Here is a 16,523-nt window from a genome sequence, read left to right on the forward strand (position 1 = left end):
CGCTCTGTCGCCCAGGCTGGAGTACAGTGGTGCGATCTTGGCTCACTGCAACCTCCACCTCCAGGGTTCAAGTTATTCTCCTACCTCAGCCTCCCAAGTAGCTGGGATTACAGGCACATGCCACCATGCCCAGCTAATTTTTTGTATTTTTAGTAGAGACAGGGTTTCACCGTGTTAGCCAGGATGGTCTCGATCTCCTGACCTCGTGATCCACCCACCTCAGCCTCCCAAAGTGCTGAGATTACAGGCGTGAGCCACTGTGCCCAGCCTGGACTTGCTATCTACATAAGCAATGCATAATGTAAATGCCAAGCGAAAATTTCATCAGTCATAGGTAGTTGACTGGACATTTAATTATCCTTCGCCTATGCTTTCTGTTATGCCAAGTTAACCATTTAATTAGGCCAAATAGACAGATTTAGTCCACAACAAAAGTCTCTTTCAGCTGGAGTGGGCCAGGGGATGAGTCTTAATGAAGAAAAGGAAAGGCAAAGAAAGGAGATGAAGATCAAAGGAGAAGAGAGCTGAGAATGTTAAGCAAACTCCAATGTTGCCAACTCTCTGGCATACAGTTGAACAATCCTGATGGGAAAGAATCATGACTTAGTCCAAAGTTGGACAAGTTGAATAATTTGGTAAAATATGATCAGTTCAGCTTGCCCAATCACTTGAATGTGGGAGGGATTCGGCAGCATCATTTTTGTCTCTTTGGGGAATGAAAATAATCTGTTGCAAACTGTGTTTAGCACATTCAAAATCCGATGTAATTTTGCCATGCTTCTTTTTGAAAAATAGTTGTGGTAATATATGCTTCAGTTTGTATGTCACATGCAACATGTGACTTCCGAGCTTGGTTACTAACTTCGATCCATATTTCTGTAAATGTAGAATATACAAAACTCCATGTGTGTGACATTGATGATTATAAAGCTTCTATACGAATATTGGGGCTTTCATATGAACACTATGTAGCCTTCGGGGGGTTTCTTAACCTTTCTGTGCTTCAGTTTCTATATTTGTAAAACGGAGCTAATAGTCTTTGTTCTATTTTATTCTCATAATTTCTAAGAGATTACATGAAATAACTTGTGTGATGTGTGTGCTTCGAAAACAATAAAGGATTCTACAAATGTGATGCCATTGTTATATCGCTGTCAGAAACACTTTGCCTACACAACAAGCAAAAGTCATTAAGTCAAGACAATTAAAAGGATATAGAAGGAAAGAGGAGAGAAAATGATAACATAGCTGACAATTTACAGAGTTGTTCTGTATTTTTCACTCATTTTTTCTTAAATCATTTTAGTTGATATACTAATCTTGAAGCAGAAGAAACCAAGTTTTGAGGTGTTTTTGAAGTCAAAGTCTCCAAACTATGATTCTTGCTCACAAGTTGACCAACACAATGAAAATTGTTGCAAAAATGTAATCTTTAGTGAAAAAAACTGTCTGGGAGCCATCTTGGCCATAGCATCCTGAATAAACGTAAAACTTGAAATGTTGTTCAAGGTGGATTACTTAATTACCATTTACCACTTGTTTAAAAAAACAAATTTGGGAATATGGCTGGTCCAGTTCATTTCTCAGTGACAATACACCAAAGCTTTTAAAAATACAATCGCTTTTTGCTTTCTCCTTTCAACACACTGAAAACCAAAGTGTTATTTTTAAAAAGGTAAACATTAAACCATTGCAAACTTGTATTTGTTGCTAGTAAATGAAAAAATTAGCAAATGTATTAATAGTTACCAAATAGAAGAATCCTAAGAGATGAGATAATTCTTACCATTTTCTTCATTCAAAAGTCGTTCAGTGCTGATAATTATTAGAGATCAGGTCTCACAAATATTTCCTATGTGATAACATTTTCATGGGCATTCAGGAGAAACAGTTTCGTGAGGGAGAAAGATGGAGTTGTGATGACTGGAATAAGACAAGAATAGATTGTAGATGGAAGACACAATCCATATTAATTTTCTACAGTCATAATCAGGGACACTAGTAATTGGAAGGGGACAAGGCAAAGCACTCCTTCACTATTCTCTCAGTTCTTGGCTTTGTATCTGAAGTGACCTCATAAAATATTAGGCACATAATATTGAACACCACTGGCTGAACAAGTAATTGATCATATCATTCCCCTCCTTTCAATCCTTCAAAGTCTTCACGTCATACCAAGAAAACTATCAAGTTCTTAATCCTGCTTCTGAAAGAAGCAGACACTAAGACAGGATTAACAGGCAAGAATTCTATTAGGAGAAATACTCTGTTTGAGAAAATAGGTCGAAGCTAGGTTAGACTGGGAGCACCATCAGACTGCAGTGCAAGTCTGACCAGAGAGGAGAGAGGGAAGGAAGTCTGAGTGCTGTACAGTCTAAGCAAGGCCATGGGGAGTCCTCAAAATCAAATTTGCTGTCAGAGGATGCCAGTGTCTTCCAGGAATTGTCCTGCCTTAGCAGAACCAATGCGCTCATCATTGACCGGAAGCAGCATGTTGAGAGCATAGGTTCATCAGAGAGAAATGTGGCAATGGATTTAAAAGGCAGCAGCTGGGGCCTTTGGTCAAGTATACTCCCACACAGTTGCAGATCTACAAGGTGTGTTTCTCATGGCTGCCACAGGCCACTCTTAGGCCACACAGATTTACTTTTATGCAGATTTGTAGAGTAGCTCCTCTGTGGTTTCTGTGGTCTTTCCTTCCTGTGGGAAAACTCAGAATAGGGAGGTGACTGGGATGAGCTACTGCTCCCATTGCTCCTGTTGATGTTGGGGCCATAACTGAGACTTACCCTGACTCTCCTCCACTATGCATTCCAACTCCCTTTACACTCAGCTATTCCCTAGGCAAGTCTTGGTAGCATTTCTGAAGTATCCAAACCCCTGAAAATCACATTTGTCTAAGCCTGAGGTTGCTACAAATGTCCATTCACAGATACAGCAAGTAAAGGGAGAACCAGGTGGTGACCAAATAGAGCACCTGTGTTTCATATGCATTCCTCCATGCCCCTATTGGGTAAAAACAGCATTGCCTCCTCTTGCTGATCAGGGAAAATTACTCTTGCCAGTAAGGTGACTCCTCTCCTTACCAGGGGTCTGGGAATAATGAGTTCAATGTGCTCTGGAGGCAGCCATAACTTATAGTTCAATGCTATGTTCCCTAGCAGAGCACGTGCCTACTGGGGACCCAGACTTCCAGCCCTGAAGAGTCCAGAGTTGTAGGGACAGGAAGCATGAAACTACCAGTATGTCACTGGGAGTTATGACAAGTGAGGCTATTCTTGCTTCTACCCCTTGATGCTCTAACCCATGCCTTTTTCCTATAGAGAATACAGCATATTGGATCTCTAGTTAATTAAATGCACTGCATCCTAGAGAATGACATCTACCTTTCAGTGTTTCCTCTGAGCTGGTGCTTCCATTGGCACCTTTAGAAGACTCTTCCAGACTTGTATGAGACCAGTTGCATCTGGTTGGTAGCGTATGTGATACAACCACTGAATCCCATGATCTCAGATCCACTTCTGTGCTCATTTCACTATGAAGTTGGTCTTATGGTTAGAGGCTATGCTTTGTGAGATTTCTTGCCTGTGGATCACTCATTCCATAAACCACCAAATAATAGAGTGGGACACACACAGTGTTGCCCTGGGACAGAAAAGGCAAACCCATATTTAGTTTAGGTATCCATCCCTGTGAACCTCTGGACCTTCCAGGAGTATTCCATGAGGAACGTGTCATGTTGGAAATTTATCACTGGTCTCTGTTGCTGGAAGGTTGGGTATTCAGAGGTAGCCATAGCTATATCAGCCTTGGTAAGTGGGAGTCCATGCTTTGGGGCAATGTCACCTCCATAATATCCTATAATGCCATCACATGCCTGGGGTAGTTGACAATGAAGGCTGGCTAAATCAATTCACCAACTCATATTATCTATTTCTTTTTTTAGTATCTCTTCAGGGATAGATGCTTTTTGGTGGGCATTAATAGGTGGTACAAAAACCTTTTTGCTTTGTGTTCACTCTCATATGTCTATCCAAATGCCTCTATTCAGAACTACTTTTCTCAGATCATCCAGTCTTTTTCCCCTCGAAGTCCCTGAGCAATTTGTTAGGACGATGGCCACTGCTCAGAAATATTTATATGTTCTTCCACACAAAGTGCATGAGAAAGTGCACTGCTCATAGCTCAGCCAATTTTTCATTCTCCACATGTTTCAGGGATATCTCTGACTATAGTTGTCAAACAAATGCCATCCATTTTTAGCTTGTACCCACATAATGAGATGACTGAGGTTGCAGCTGGGCCTTTTTACGTGTTTTGCTGGATAGTAAGCTATACTTGTGCAATGAGAGACTGTGAAAGACCTGTTTTGGCAGGGAACAATGATAGTGTGAGGTGCGCTGTGAACTGAACAGGGATTCTAGAGATCACACAGGACTGGGAGAGGTTGGAATTCCAGCCAATGACATGGAGAAATCTTCCGGAAAACTCAGGCATTCCTGAAGAATCCAGAAAGGCCACATTTTGGCATTGAGCTTCTCTAGCCCTAGAGCCAGGGATACTCTAACTGCCCTAACAAAATCTGAAACCAAGCTTTGATAGGATCAGGCTGGTCCACCAGTAATTTAACTGCTTGTCAGAAAAAAAAAGAAAAAAAACCTCAGCACTCTTTAAAGGAAGACAATAAAATACAGATTTTTAACAACGTAGCATTAACAATGTTTGGCATACAACAAAACATAATTAGATAGGCAAAGAATTAGAAAACTGTGACATAAAACTATGACAGGGAAAAAACAAATCCAGAGTTGACAAATATGTTGCAATTAGCAGAAAAGACCTTTAAAGCAGCTATTGCAAATATGTTCAAGAATTTAAAAATGGACATAATGGGTGGCCAGGTATAGTATGACAATGGAAAAATAAAACTATCAAAAGATGAATGGAAATGCTAGAATTGAAAAATACAATATAAGAAAAGACAAATTTAATGCATAGTTTTAACAGCAGTGCGTAAGAAAGGTCACTGAACTTAAAAACCAATTAAAAGAAACAATCAAACTAAAAACAGAGGGAAGAAAAAAACTGAAAACAAACAAACAAACAAACTACAGGACCAGAGATAACATGTGGGAACAGCAAGAGGTTTAATATATGTGTATTTGGAATCCAAAAGGAGAAGAGAGAGAGAGTGTAGATAGAGCAGAAAAAATATTCAAAGAAATTGGCCAGGTGCAGCGGCTTACCCTGTAATCCCAGCACTTTGGGAGGCCAAGTGGGACAGATCACAAGGTCAGAGGTTTGAGACCAGCCTGGCCAATGTAGTGAAACCCCATCTCTACTAAAAATACAAAAAAAAAAAATTAGCTAGGCATGGTGGCGGGCACCTGTAATCCCAGCTACTCGGGAGGCTGAGGCAGGAGAATCCCTTGAACCCGGGAGGCGGAGGTTGCAGTGAGCCAAGATTGTGCCACTGCACTCCAGCCTGGGCAACAGTGTGAGACTCCATCTTAAAAAAAAAAAAGAAAGAAAAAAAGAAAAAGAAATAATGCCAGCCAGAATATCAAGTGATGTTACTATTGAAGCACTGAAAGAAAAGACCTGTCAAATTAGAATTCTAAATGCAAAGAAAATACTCTTTAAAAATGAAAGCAAAATAAGGACATTTTCAAATAAGCAAATGCTAAGAACTTTCATCAACAGCTGACTTGAATTACAATAAATGATAAAGTTTTTTGGGTGGAAAACCATGATACCCAACGGGAGCATGGATCTACAGGAAGGAGTGAAAAACACCAGAAATGAGGAATATGTGGGTAAAACAGAAAAGTTTTCTGCTTGTATCTTAATTTCTTTAAAACAAAATTGACTGTGTCTTTATGGTAGAATGATTTATACCCATGTAACAAACCTGCACATATACCCTCTAAACCTAAAATAAAAATTGGAAAAAAATTTGTCTTTCTGATTGTATTTATTTGAATCTATGTTTTTTCTTTATTAGTCTACCCAGCAATCTATCTATTTATTCTTTCAAATAACCAACCCCTGGACTTGTGGATCTTTTTTATGGTTTTTCATATTTCAATTTTCTTCAAGTCACCTCTCATTTTGTTTTTTTCTTATCTTCTGCTGGCTTTGGGGTTCATTTGCTCTTTGTTCTCTAATTCCTCTAGGTGTGATGATGGCTTGCTAATCTGAGATCTTTTTGACTTTTTGATGTGGGCATTTAGCACTATAAACTTCCCTCTTAACACTGCTTTAGCTGTGTCCCAGATATTCTGATATGTTGTATTTTCCCCTTATTAGTTTCAAAGAATTTCTTGATTTCTGCCTCAATTTCATTGTTAGCCCAAAAGTCATTCAGGAGCAGGTTGTTTAATTTCCATGTAATGATACGGTTTTTGAGCAATTTTCTTAGTATTGATTTCTGTTTTTTTATATGTGCTGTAGTCTGAAAGTGTGGTTGGTATAATTTGCGGCATTTTTACTTTGCTGAGGATTGTTTTATGGCTGTTTGTGTGGTCAATTTTAGAGTGTGTGCTACGTAAAGATGAGAAGAATATATATTCTGATATTTTCAGTTGGAGGGTTTTGTAGATATCTATTAGGTCCTTTTGTTGAAGTGTTGAGTCCAGGTCCCAAATATCTTTGTTAGTTTTCTGCCTTGATAATCTGCCTAATCCTATCAGTGGGGTGTTGAAGTCTCCCACTATTATTTTGTGGTTATCTAGGTATCTTTGTAGGTCTTTAGTAACTTGCTTTGTGACCGATGCTCCTGTACTAAGTTTAAATATATTTAGGATAGTTAGGTTTTCTTGCTGAATTATGTAGTGCCATTGTCTGTTTTCATCATTGCTGGTTTAAAGACTGTTTTGTCTGAAATTAGGATAGCAATCCCTGTCATTTTCTGTTTTCCATTTGTTTGGTCAATTTTCTTCACCCTTTACTTTGAACCTATGGGTGTCACTGCATGTAAGATGGGTCTCTTGAAGACTATATATCATTGAGTTTTGTCTCTTTATCCAATTTGCCATTCTGTGCCTTTTAATTGGGACATTTAACCCATTTACATTCAAGGTTAATATTGATATGTGCCAATTTGATACTGTCATCATGTCAGCTGGTTATTATGCTGACTTGGTTCATGTGGTTGCCTTATAGTGTCAATGATCTATGTACTTAAGTGTGTTTTTGTAGTGTCCAGTAATAGTCTTTCCTTTCCATATTTAGTATTCCCTTTTAGGCCTCTTGTAAGGCAGGTCTGATCATAATGAATTCCCTTAGCATTTGCTTGTCTGAAAAGGATATTATTTCTCCTTTGCTTATGAAAATTAGTTTCACTGGATATGAAACTCTTGGTTGCAAATTCTTTTCTTTAAAAATGTGACTATAGTCTTCCAGTCTCTTCTGGCTTACAGGATTTCTGCCAAAATTTCCACCCTTAGCCTGATGGGGTTCCCTTTGTAGGTAACCCGCCCCTTCCCTCTAGCTGCCTTTAACATTTTTTCTTTCATTTCAACCTTGGACAATCTGATGACTATGTATTTTGAGGATTGTCATCTTGTATAGTATCTTGCACAAATTATCTGCACTTCCTGAATTTGAATGTTGGCCTCTCTAACAAAGTTAGGGAAATTTTCATGGATGATATCTTGAAGTATGTTTTCCAAGTTGCTTGCTTTCTCTCCTCTCTTTCCAAGACATCAGTGAGACACATTTGTTCTCTTTACATAATCCCATATTTCATGGTAGATTTATTTATTCTTATTTAATCTTTTTTCTTTATTTTTGTCTGAGTTATTTCAGAGAACTTGTCTTTGAGTTCTGAGATTCTTTCCTCTGCTTGGTTGATTCTGCTCTTAATACTTGCGATTGTATTCTGAAATTCTTGAAGTGAGTTTTTCAGTTCTATCAGGTCAGTTTGTTTCTTTCTTAAAAATGGTCATTTCATCTTTTATCTCCTGTATCATTTTATTGTATTCCTTAGAATCCTTTGAGTTTTGAATTTCTCCTGAATCTCAATGATCTTCATTCCTATCCATATTCTGAATTCTATTTCTATCATTTCAGCCATTTCAGCCTAATTAATAACCAATGCTAAGGAACTCTAGCTTTTTGAGTTTCCAGAGTTCTTGTGCTGGTTCTTTCTCGCCTGTGTGGGCTGATGTTCCTTCAATCTTTGACATTGCTGTCCTTTGAATGCAGGATGTTTGTTTGTTTGTTTTGTTTTGTTTTTTGCTTTTATCCTCTTTGAGGCTCTCAGTGTTTGATTGTAGTATAAGGTGGGTTCAGTCAGCTAGCTTCATTTCTGAAAGATTTTAGGAAGCCAAGTCTCAGCTCAGCACTCTTGGCCTCTGTGCTCTAACTCTGGAGAAATGGTACCAGCCCACAGCTTTGTTCTTTGTTTGCTAGAGGCTCAGAACCTACTGAACTGGAGGGGCTGAGGTATTCCCAGACTGCTGGCCACAGCACTTTGATGGATGATGGCAGCCAAAGTGCTTCACTGAGGTGGTGGCAGCAGGATTCATGCTCATTCGTGCATGCCAGCAGCAGTGGCAATGTGGTGGGGTGCATGCATGTTTGCTGTTGTGGGGTACTAGTGGGAGTGGGGTTGTGGTATTCCTGTGCATGCTCACACCAGTGGCTGCAGCAACAAGGGTGGGTTGCTGGAGAGTGCGGAGCTGCCAGCCTCTGTGCGTATGTTTTCAGCAGTGGTGATGGCAGTATGGTGTGGGGGCGGGGTTGCTGGTCTCTCGGCATGTGTTTTCACTGGTGGTGATGTCTACATATGGAGGGCCTGGGATTGATGGAATCTTAGCATGCATTTGTGTCAGCAATGACAGTACAGCTGGGGGGTGTGGGGTGTGCTCACACCAGCAACAGTGGCATGGCAGGGTGCACACACACATACAAATTGGCGAGGGAGGGGAGGCGATGTCCATCCCCATGTGTGTGCACTGGCAAAGTGATAAGGGGTGGCTGTGGGCGAGTGCATGCCAGCAAAGCAGCCTGGAGGAGGCTTCAGTGGGTAAGGCAGTGTGAGTGTGTGTGCTGATGGAAATTGACAGGGCCACTCTGCTGTAGCTGATAGTCAGGCCCAGTCCGCTGGTGGGGAACTACAATGAAGGCCCCCAGGAAGCACCCCTGTTGGGCATCTGAGGCTGTACTGCAAGCAGATGCAACCAAACTGGGGCTCTAGGACAGGCCAGCAGACAGGCGGTTGCTCAGATTGGGCTGGCCCCATCTCACAGGCAAGATCACCCTGCTCTGTCCCAGGCTGTCAGTCACCCTAAGGCTAAAGTCTCCTAGAGGCACAAGCCAAGCCTTGGGGGATGGGCATCCCTGGCCATGCTCCACTGCACACGTTCCCACACCAAACCCTCTGGATTCCACACTGGCTGGAGTCCTGCCCCTACCACCTCTGTAAGCAGCTCTCCCTGCCAGCTCAAGTGTCCATGGAGGTCCTGAGGTCTCCTGCTGACAGGATTCCAGAGGTCCCCAGTGAGAGCAGGATGCTGATTGCCTGCTGAGCTCACCCCTTCTCCAGGAGTCGCTGTGGGCCAGGAATGAGTCCCAGTGTGCAGTAGCGCCATGTCGGGTTCCCAGCTTCTTTTCTCTTCAGCCCAGCACCTGTGTCCTCCCTCCATCCACTCTCAATACCTTCCCTCTGAAGATGGCTCAGAGTTCACCAGTCTTCCAGATGTCCCAGTCTCTCAGTGGCAGACATTCTTCCTGGCTATGTCTAGTTACCCATCTTGAATATTGAAATTCACTTTATATTAGTTAGAAGTGAAGAGAATAGGTAGCTTTGTGACAAGTACACACTAATAATAAGAAAGCTGAAGAGATTATACTAATATCAGTCATAGAAGGCTATAAGGGAAGGGGTATTACAAGAGATATGGGTGAATATAGTCATGTGACATTTAACTGCAGGGATATTTTCTGAAAGATGCTTGGTTAGGATTTCATCATTGTGTGAGCATCACAGAGTATACTTCCACCAGCCTAGACAGTATAACCTACTACACACTTAGGCCATATGGTTAGTCACCACACTATATGGATACTATTTAATAGTTGTTATACTGTGTTTTTAAATGTGCTGTTTTTATTGTTGTATTGTTATTTTTTACTCTTCTTCCTGAATATTTTCTATCCAACATTGTTTGAATTGTGGATGTGGAACCCTTGCATACTGAGGGCTGACTGTATGTAACTTCACCTCAATTAAATGAGTGATTCATCTGGTAAAATAGTAAAGCTATTTTTCACAAGCTTGAACAAGCAAGAATTTGGATTTGATGGATCTTTGTATAAATTGGGCTTTATATTTTGGCTATTTTTCCTAGTATTAACAGCAAGTTTCTCACTTAATTTATTTAGACTGTCATTAAACTCTATTTGGCCCTCTAAGTGCAATATATAAAAATGCACTGGTTCTTTCTTGTGTTTTCATGATCATCAATGTATGATTTCATATACATGTGCCTCTCTCTTGACACAGCTCTCTCCACTCCAACTCAGTTGGGCTCTGATAGCTGATTTACACTGATGAAACACATGACGAGATTTCCTAGGCTTCAAAGTATCTTTTGTTTTAATTGTTTTCACTTCAAACTAATTGTTATCCATCCATTATATGAATAAGATATTTTATATTTTAAGTTACATCTTTTTTTTTTTTTTTTTTTTTTTTGAGATGGAGTCTCCTTCTGTCACCAGGCTGGAGTGTAGTGGCATGATCTCGGCTCACTGCAACCTCTGCCTTCTGGGTTCAAGCGATTCTCCTGCCTCAGCCTCCTGAGTAGCTGGGACTACAGGTGCGCACCACCACTCCCAGCTAATTTTTGTATTTTTAGTAGAGACGGGGTTTCACCATGTTGGCCAGGATGGTCTTGATCTCTTGACCTAGTGATCCGCCCACCTCGGCCTCCCAAAGTGCTGGGATTACAGGTGTGAGCCACTGTGCCCAGCCTAAAGTTAAATCTTTATTTGCTCACATGATCCAGTTTGTTTGAACACATATACAATATCAGTTTTAATTCAAAGATCTTAAGAGAAAATATATATACTTTTTAATACTGGTTTTTCCTAATGCCTAGAGATAAATATATATTTGCCTTATCAAAGGAAGTAATCTGAAACAATAACAGTGTTATTAGTCTTTATGCAAGTTTTAAAAATGCTTTGGTCATTTACTTTGAAATGCTTTAATAGAGTGTGTATAAGGCAACAGGACAGTCATCTAATCAGTGAAATTTCATTATTTTATAAATTAATAATTTACACTAATAGATACATTTTCAATAAACATGGCATTGTACAATTCAAACTTGCTTCGTAGCCCAGGGACATAACCCCAGAAATTACAATGCAATAGGGGACAGGACAAATAGGGAGTTTTGTTCAGAAGAGCAAGATAGAGTTTACAGACACTTGGAACCAGTCTCTATCTTAGACACAGTAGAGAAGTTGAAAGTAGCTTCTAGTGTTTGTTTCAAAATATTGAATACAACACATCTGAGTTAAGATAAGCTATATTTAAGTTCTCCAAATGCTTGAGCATATGCTCTTCTCATCTAGGAAATCATTTGAACAATGTTAAAATGAGCTCATGAATTTAACTTTTTAGTTCCTTTTCTCTGTTTCAAAGTATCTCGATGAAATGAGTTCTAAGTGGGAGAAAACAATTTCTGATGCCAATTGTATTTCATCTTGTATACCACGCTCTTCAGTATAGTATAACGGCATAGATGTCTAACAAGTATTCCAATGACTGACTTTTCAATTTGGCTGCAGGCTGAACACCCCTGGGTAGTTTAGAATAATCTAGATGTCTCAGTTCCACCTTCAGAAATTCTGATTTAATTGGTAAGAGGTGCAGCATGGACATCAGGGTCTTTAAAAACTTCCTGGGTGATTTTAATGTGCAGCAAAATTTGAGAACCATTGCTTCAAAAAGTAAGAGGTAAATGTTTACAGGAGGGGTAATTTCTTCTGTGTTGCAATTCTGGAATTATCAGAATAGTCTTAATGGAAAATGTGACAAACTGTATTGTTAAGGGAGAGGGTTCAGGGGCAGAGAACAGAAGTTATTCTACCAAGTTTAAGTAGAAATGAATGTATTTTGGAATATTAAATGGCTTATATATCATTGGGAAGGCTGAGGAAATCAATGGTAAGATGAGCTTTTAGAAACGACTTTGGGAGCCATGATTCTGAATTGAGCCATTAAGGGAGCTGCTACTAAGTTGTGAAGTTACTGCTACAGTTGCCAACTCCCAAAACATACCACCATTCCCAGGACCAGGGAATGGCACCCTCAGGAAGTGGCCAAACCACGACAGAACACGTAGGCACTTCAACGATGAGATTGAAAAATGCAGAAAAGTTTTCTCTCATCTACTCCCCCTGCCCTATCACACAGGGTGGTTTGTTGAGAATCAGAAAGTGAAAAGAAACTAAAGTTCACATGCTTTTGTGGGAGTCCAGGTGGGAGACAGAAGATGAAAACCTGAACTAAAGCAGTAGCCAAGACGACAGAGCGGAAGATACAGAATCTTGAGATCATTAAAAATAAAATTGATAGGACATGGTATCCAGTTGGCTTTACAGAGAGAAAGGTATCAGAAATGATTTTGAAACATACAAGCAGCCAACAAACACATGAAAAAAAGTTCCACATCGCTAATCATCACAGAAATGCAAATCAAAACCACAATGAGATACCATCTCACACCAGTCGGAATGGCAATTATTAAAAAGTAAAAGCAAAAAACAAAACATGAACCAAAAAAGAGATGCTGGCAAGGCTGCAGGGAAACAAGAACGTTTATATGATATAGGTAGGAATGTAAATTAGTTTAGACACTGTGGAAAGCAGTTTGGAGATTTCTCAAAGAATTTAAACCAGAACTATTTGACCCAGCAGTCTCATTACTGGGTATATATCCAAAAGAAAATAAATCATTCTACCAAAAAGACACATGTACTTTCACGTTCATTGCAGCACTATTCACAATAGCAGACATGGAATCAACCCAAGTACCCATCAATAGTAGGTTGGATAAAGAAAATGTGGTACATATACACCATGGAATACTACACAGCCATAAAAAAGAACAAAATTGTGTCTTTTGCAGTAACATGATGTAGCTGGAGGCCATTATCCCAAGTAACTTAATGCAGGAAGAGAAAATTAAATACTGCATGTTCTCACACATAAGTGGAAGCTAAATATTGGGTACTCATGGACACAGAGATGAGAAAAATAGACACTGGGGACTACTAGAGCGGGGAGATAGGGTGAGGAGTGAGGCTTGAAAAACTATTGAGTACTATCTTCACTACCTGGGTGATGAGATCAGTTTTACCCCAAACATCAGCAATAGGCAATATACCTGATATGGTTTGGCTGTGTCTCCACCCAAATCTCATCTTGAATTGTAGCTCACATAATTCCCTTGTGTTGTGGGAGGGACCCAGTGGGAGATAATTGAATCATGGGGGTAGTTTCCCCTATACTGTTCTCGTGGTAGTGAAAAAATCTCACAAGATCTGATGGTTTTATAAGGGGAAACCCCTTTCGCTTGTCTCTCATTCTTCTCTTGTCTGCCACCATGTGAGATGTGCCTTTTACCTTCCGTTATGATTGTGAGGCCTCCCCAGTCACGTGGAACTGTGAGTCCATTAAACCTTTTTCTTTTGTAAATTGCCCAGTCTCGTGTGTGTCTTTATCAGCAGCATGAAAACAGATTAATACAATACCCAAGTAATAAACCTGTATATGTACTCCCTGAATCTAAAATAAAAGTTAAAATTACAAAAAATATTTTAAAATTTTAAAAATGATTTTGAAGATAATTGGATAAATGCTTGTGCTATATACTGCCATCTATTGACATGTATAGATGGGAAATACAAATCGAGGAACAGGCTAAGACAAGGGTGGGTGGAGAAGAAAGAACAAATGAAGTGCACATGTGTTCACCCTGGAGTCATATCCAAGTGCTGAATATCAGTTGAATAAGCAGTTAATATTATGGTTCTGGGGCTCGAGACATTCAGGTTTAGAGAAACTGATTGGCAAGTCAGTGAATCGTTGGGTGTAGATGTTTTGTCCATGAGAGATGATTTAAGGAATGTGCCAAAAAATGGTGGTCAGAACGAAGGAGAATTGGACTGGAATAAGATGGTAGATGGACCCATATGGCTCAGCAGATGTAGGGCTATAAATCAGAATACCTGGTTTCAATTCTCAATTCCATCATTTTCATGGACCAGTCATTTAAACTCACTGAACTCCACCCAGTTTCTTTCTGTAAGGAGTAGATAGTATTTGTGCTGTTTATCTTAAGTATTTTGGTAGGGCTCAAACACGAAGACTTATGAGAAAGCAATTGAAAACTTGCTAAAGAAAGCTGATAGAATGAACTTGATTTTGCATTTTAAACTTTATTTCAAGCTGGTGAGGTTAGATGGTCAGGGAAACTGAGGAAGAGAACAAAGATGGGAGAACTGCATTCACCCATCATTTTGGTCATTGAGAAGAGACAGACAGGAAGGAAAGGAGGCCCTAATCTTATTGCCTGAGAGCTCAACTACACACCTTTCATCCTCCTGGCAGGTGGATCGCACATCTTCCATTGAGCATAGTCTCATTTACACGCAGTTTTGCACATATGGATGCTGCTGCTACTCCCCTGCGAAAACGTTTCCAAAGCCACTAATAAAAAGGTAACTCGCTATGTGCTATGAGAGATGACAAGCGCACCTTGGGATGAATGATGGGTAAAGAATTGTCATTTCTCTTCTCAAAATCAGGCTATCATCTGCTCATGTGGCTTGGCACCTGTGGCTTGTTAGCAATTACGTTGCGGAAGCCAACCCATTCAAAGTTTCCCCTGCAGAGGAGTTTTAGGCTGTTGCCTTCCTTCCATCTGTCTCTACATGGTTTCAGAGCACTCCAATACGTTATTTGAGAAGCTTTAAAATCCATTTTCTTTTTCTAACCTTTTCTCTCATTTTATTTTTAAGTGTGATTTTATTATCCTTTAATTCAGGGTTTAAAAAGGAATGGGAATATTAATCCCTTTGGGTGTGATTATTTTGGTTAAAGTGGGACTTAGTTTTGGAATAAATGATTTGATATTGATTCATATTAGACATGGTACTTGTACTTCAAAAATGATTCAAAGTTACTAACACCACAACAAGGCCTTGCATGTCTCAAGGTTGTAGAACAGGTTGGTTTTTTATGTGATATTAACAATAATAACAAAAACTTATTTTTTCCTTAAAATACGCTAGGCAGTGTTTCAAACACTTTACATGAGTTACCCACTTTAATTCTCATTATACTGCTATGTTTATCCCCATTTTACATTTTAGAAAACTGAGGCGCAGGAAGTTAAATAATTTACTTATTTGTTACATATAATATAAATATTAACACTTTACAAAAATTCAAACATTCCTACAAATTGTCAACTTACTCTCTCTAAATCGCAATATTGATTTTGCCATTCTCTACCCAAGAAATCTTTAATAAATATCCTGTGTCTATCAAATTAAGTGCAAATATCCTATCCTAACATGCAAGAGCTCTCAAATTGTGATCCTAATTTCCTTCTCCAGCTCTGTTTTACAGGAATTCCCTAACAATGGTCCTCAATCAGGGATGATTTTGCCACCTGGGGGATATATGGCGCTGTCTAGAGACATTTCGGGCTGTCATGACTTGGGAGTTTAATGGCATGAAGTAGGAAGAAGTCAGGGATGCTGCTAAACACCCTAAACTGCAAATGACAGTCCTCCCTCACAACAAAGAATTATCCAGTTCAAATCATCAAGAATACTGAGGTTGAGAAACCCTGCCCTAACCTGTTCAATCAAACCGGACAACTTGTGGTTCTTTAAATAGCCTTTGTATGTTTCATCTTTGTAGCTTCCTCTTTTTTTTTTTTTTTTTTTTTTTTTTCAGAGACAAGGTATTGTATTGCCCAGGCTGGAGCGCAGTGGCACAGTCATAGCTCATTGCAACCTTGAACTCATGGGCTCAAGCAATCCTCATGCCTCAGCCTCCTGAGTAGTTGGGACTACAGGCATGCACCACCACCATGCTTGGCTAGTTTTTTTGTTTGTTTGTGGAGACGGGGCCTCGCTCTGTTGCCCAGGCTTCTCTTAAACTCCTGGCCTAGCAGTCCTCCCACCTCAGCCTCCCCAAATCCTAGGTTTACAGAAGGGAGCCACCATGTCTGACCAGCTTTCCTTCATTTTATTCCTTCACTAAACATTCACAGAGTACCTACTACATGCCAGCCCCTATTATGTATAAGACATGATCCTTCATCTCCCACTGACCTGGCTTCCTATCCTTGTTCCCCTCCTATATCAAAACCCTGCCTGGTAGTTTGTGACATAAACCTACACACGAAAGTGCGTATCACTTATATATACATACTTCTATTAAAATCAATAGTAAAATTAAACCAAACAAAATCCTGCATGTACTTCAA

The 16,523-nt window shown here is 39.8% G+C and overlaps 1 long non-coding RNA gene across 1 annotated transcript in view, besides 2 other annotated features; it reads right to left on the reverse strand.

The window, feature by feature from the left end:
• Positions 1 to 1,277: 1,277 nt before the first annotated feature.
• The window catches only part of LOC105377475 (uncharacterized), a 37,313-nt gene continuing 22,067 nt past the window's right edge, over positions 1,278 to 16,523 (reverse strand). Inside the window, exon 5 of the long non-coding RNA XR_939315.3 lies at positions 1,278 to 1,923. This is a non-coding gene — a long non-coding RNA (uncharacterized LOC105377475). The remainder of the gene's footprint in view (positions 1,924 to 16,523) is intronic.
• Positions 8,186 to 8,852: an enhancer, noted in NCBI's record as "H3K4me1 hESC enhancer chr4:147911753-147912419 (GRCh37/hg19 assembly coordinates)". NCBI's record gives its function as "activates a minimal SCP1, AML or CMV promoter by ChIP-STARR-seq in naive H9 embryonic stem cells {active_cell/tissue: H9 hESC(naive)}" and the evidence as "EXISTENCE:reporter gene assay evidence [ECO:0000049][PMID:30033119]".
• Positions 8,853 to 9,518: an enhancer, noted in NCBI's record as "H3K4me1 hESC enhancer chr4:147912420-147913085 (GRCh37/hg19 assembly coordinates)". NCBI's record gives its function as "activates a minimal SCP1, AML or CMV promoter by ChIP-STARR-seq in naive H9 embryonic stem cells {active_cell/tissue: H9 hESC(naive)}" and the evidence as "EXISTENCE:reporter gene assay evidence [ECO:0000049][PMID:30033119]".

The sequence above is a fragment of the Homo sapiens genome, chromosome 4, assembly GCF_000001405.40.
Source record: "Homo sapiens chromosome 4, GRCh38.p14 Primary Assembly".
NCBI lineage: Eukaryota > Metazoa > Chordata > Mammalia > Primates > Hominidae > Homo > Homo sapiens.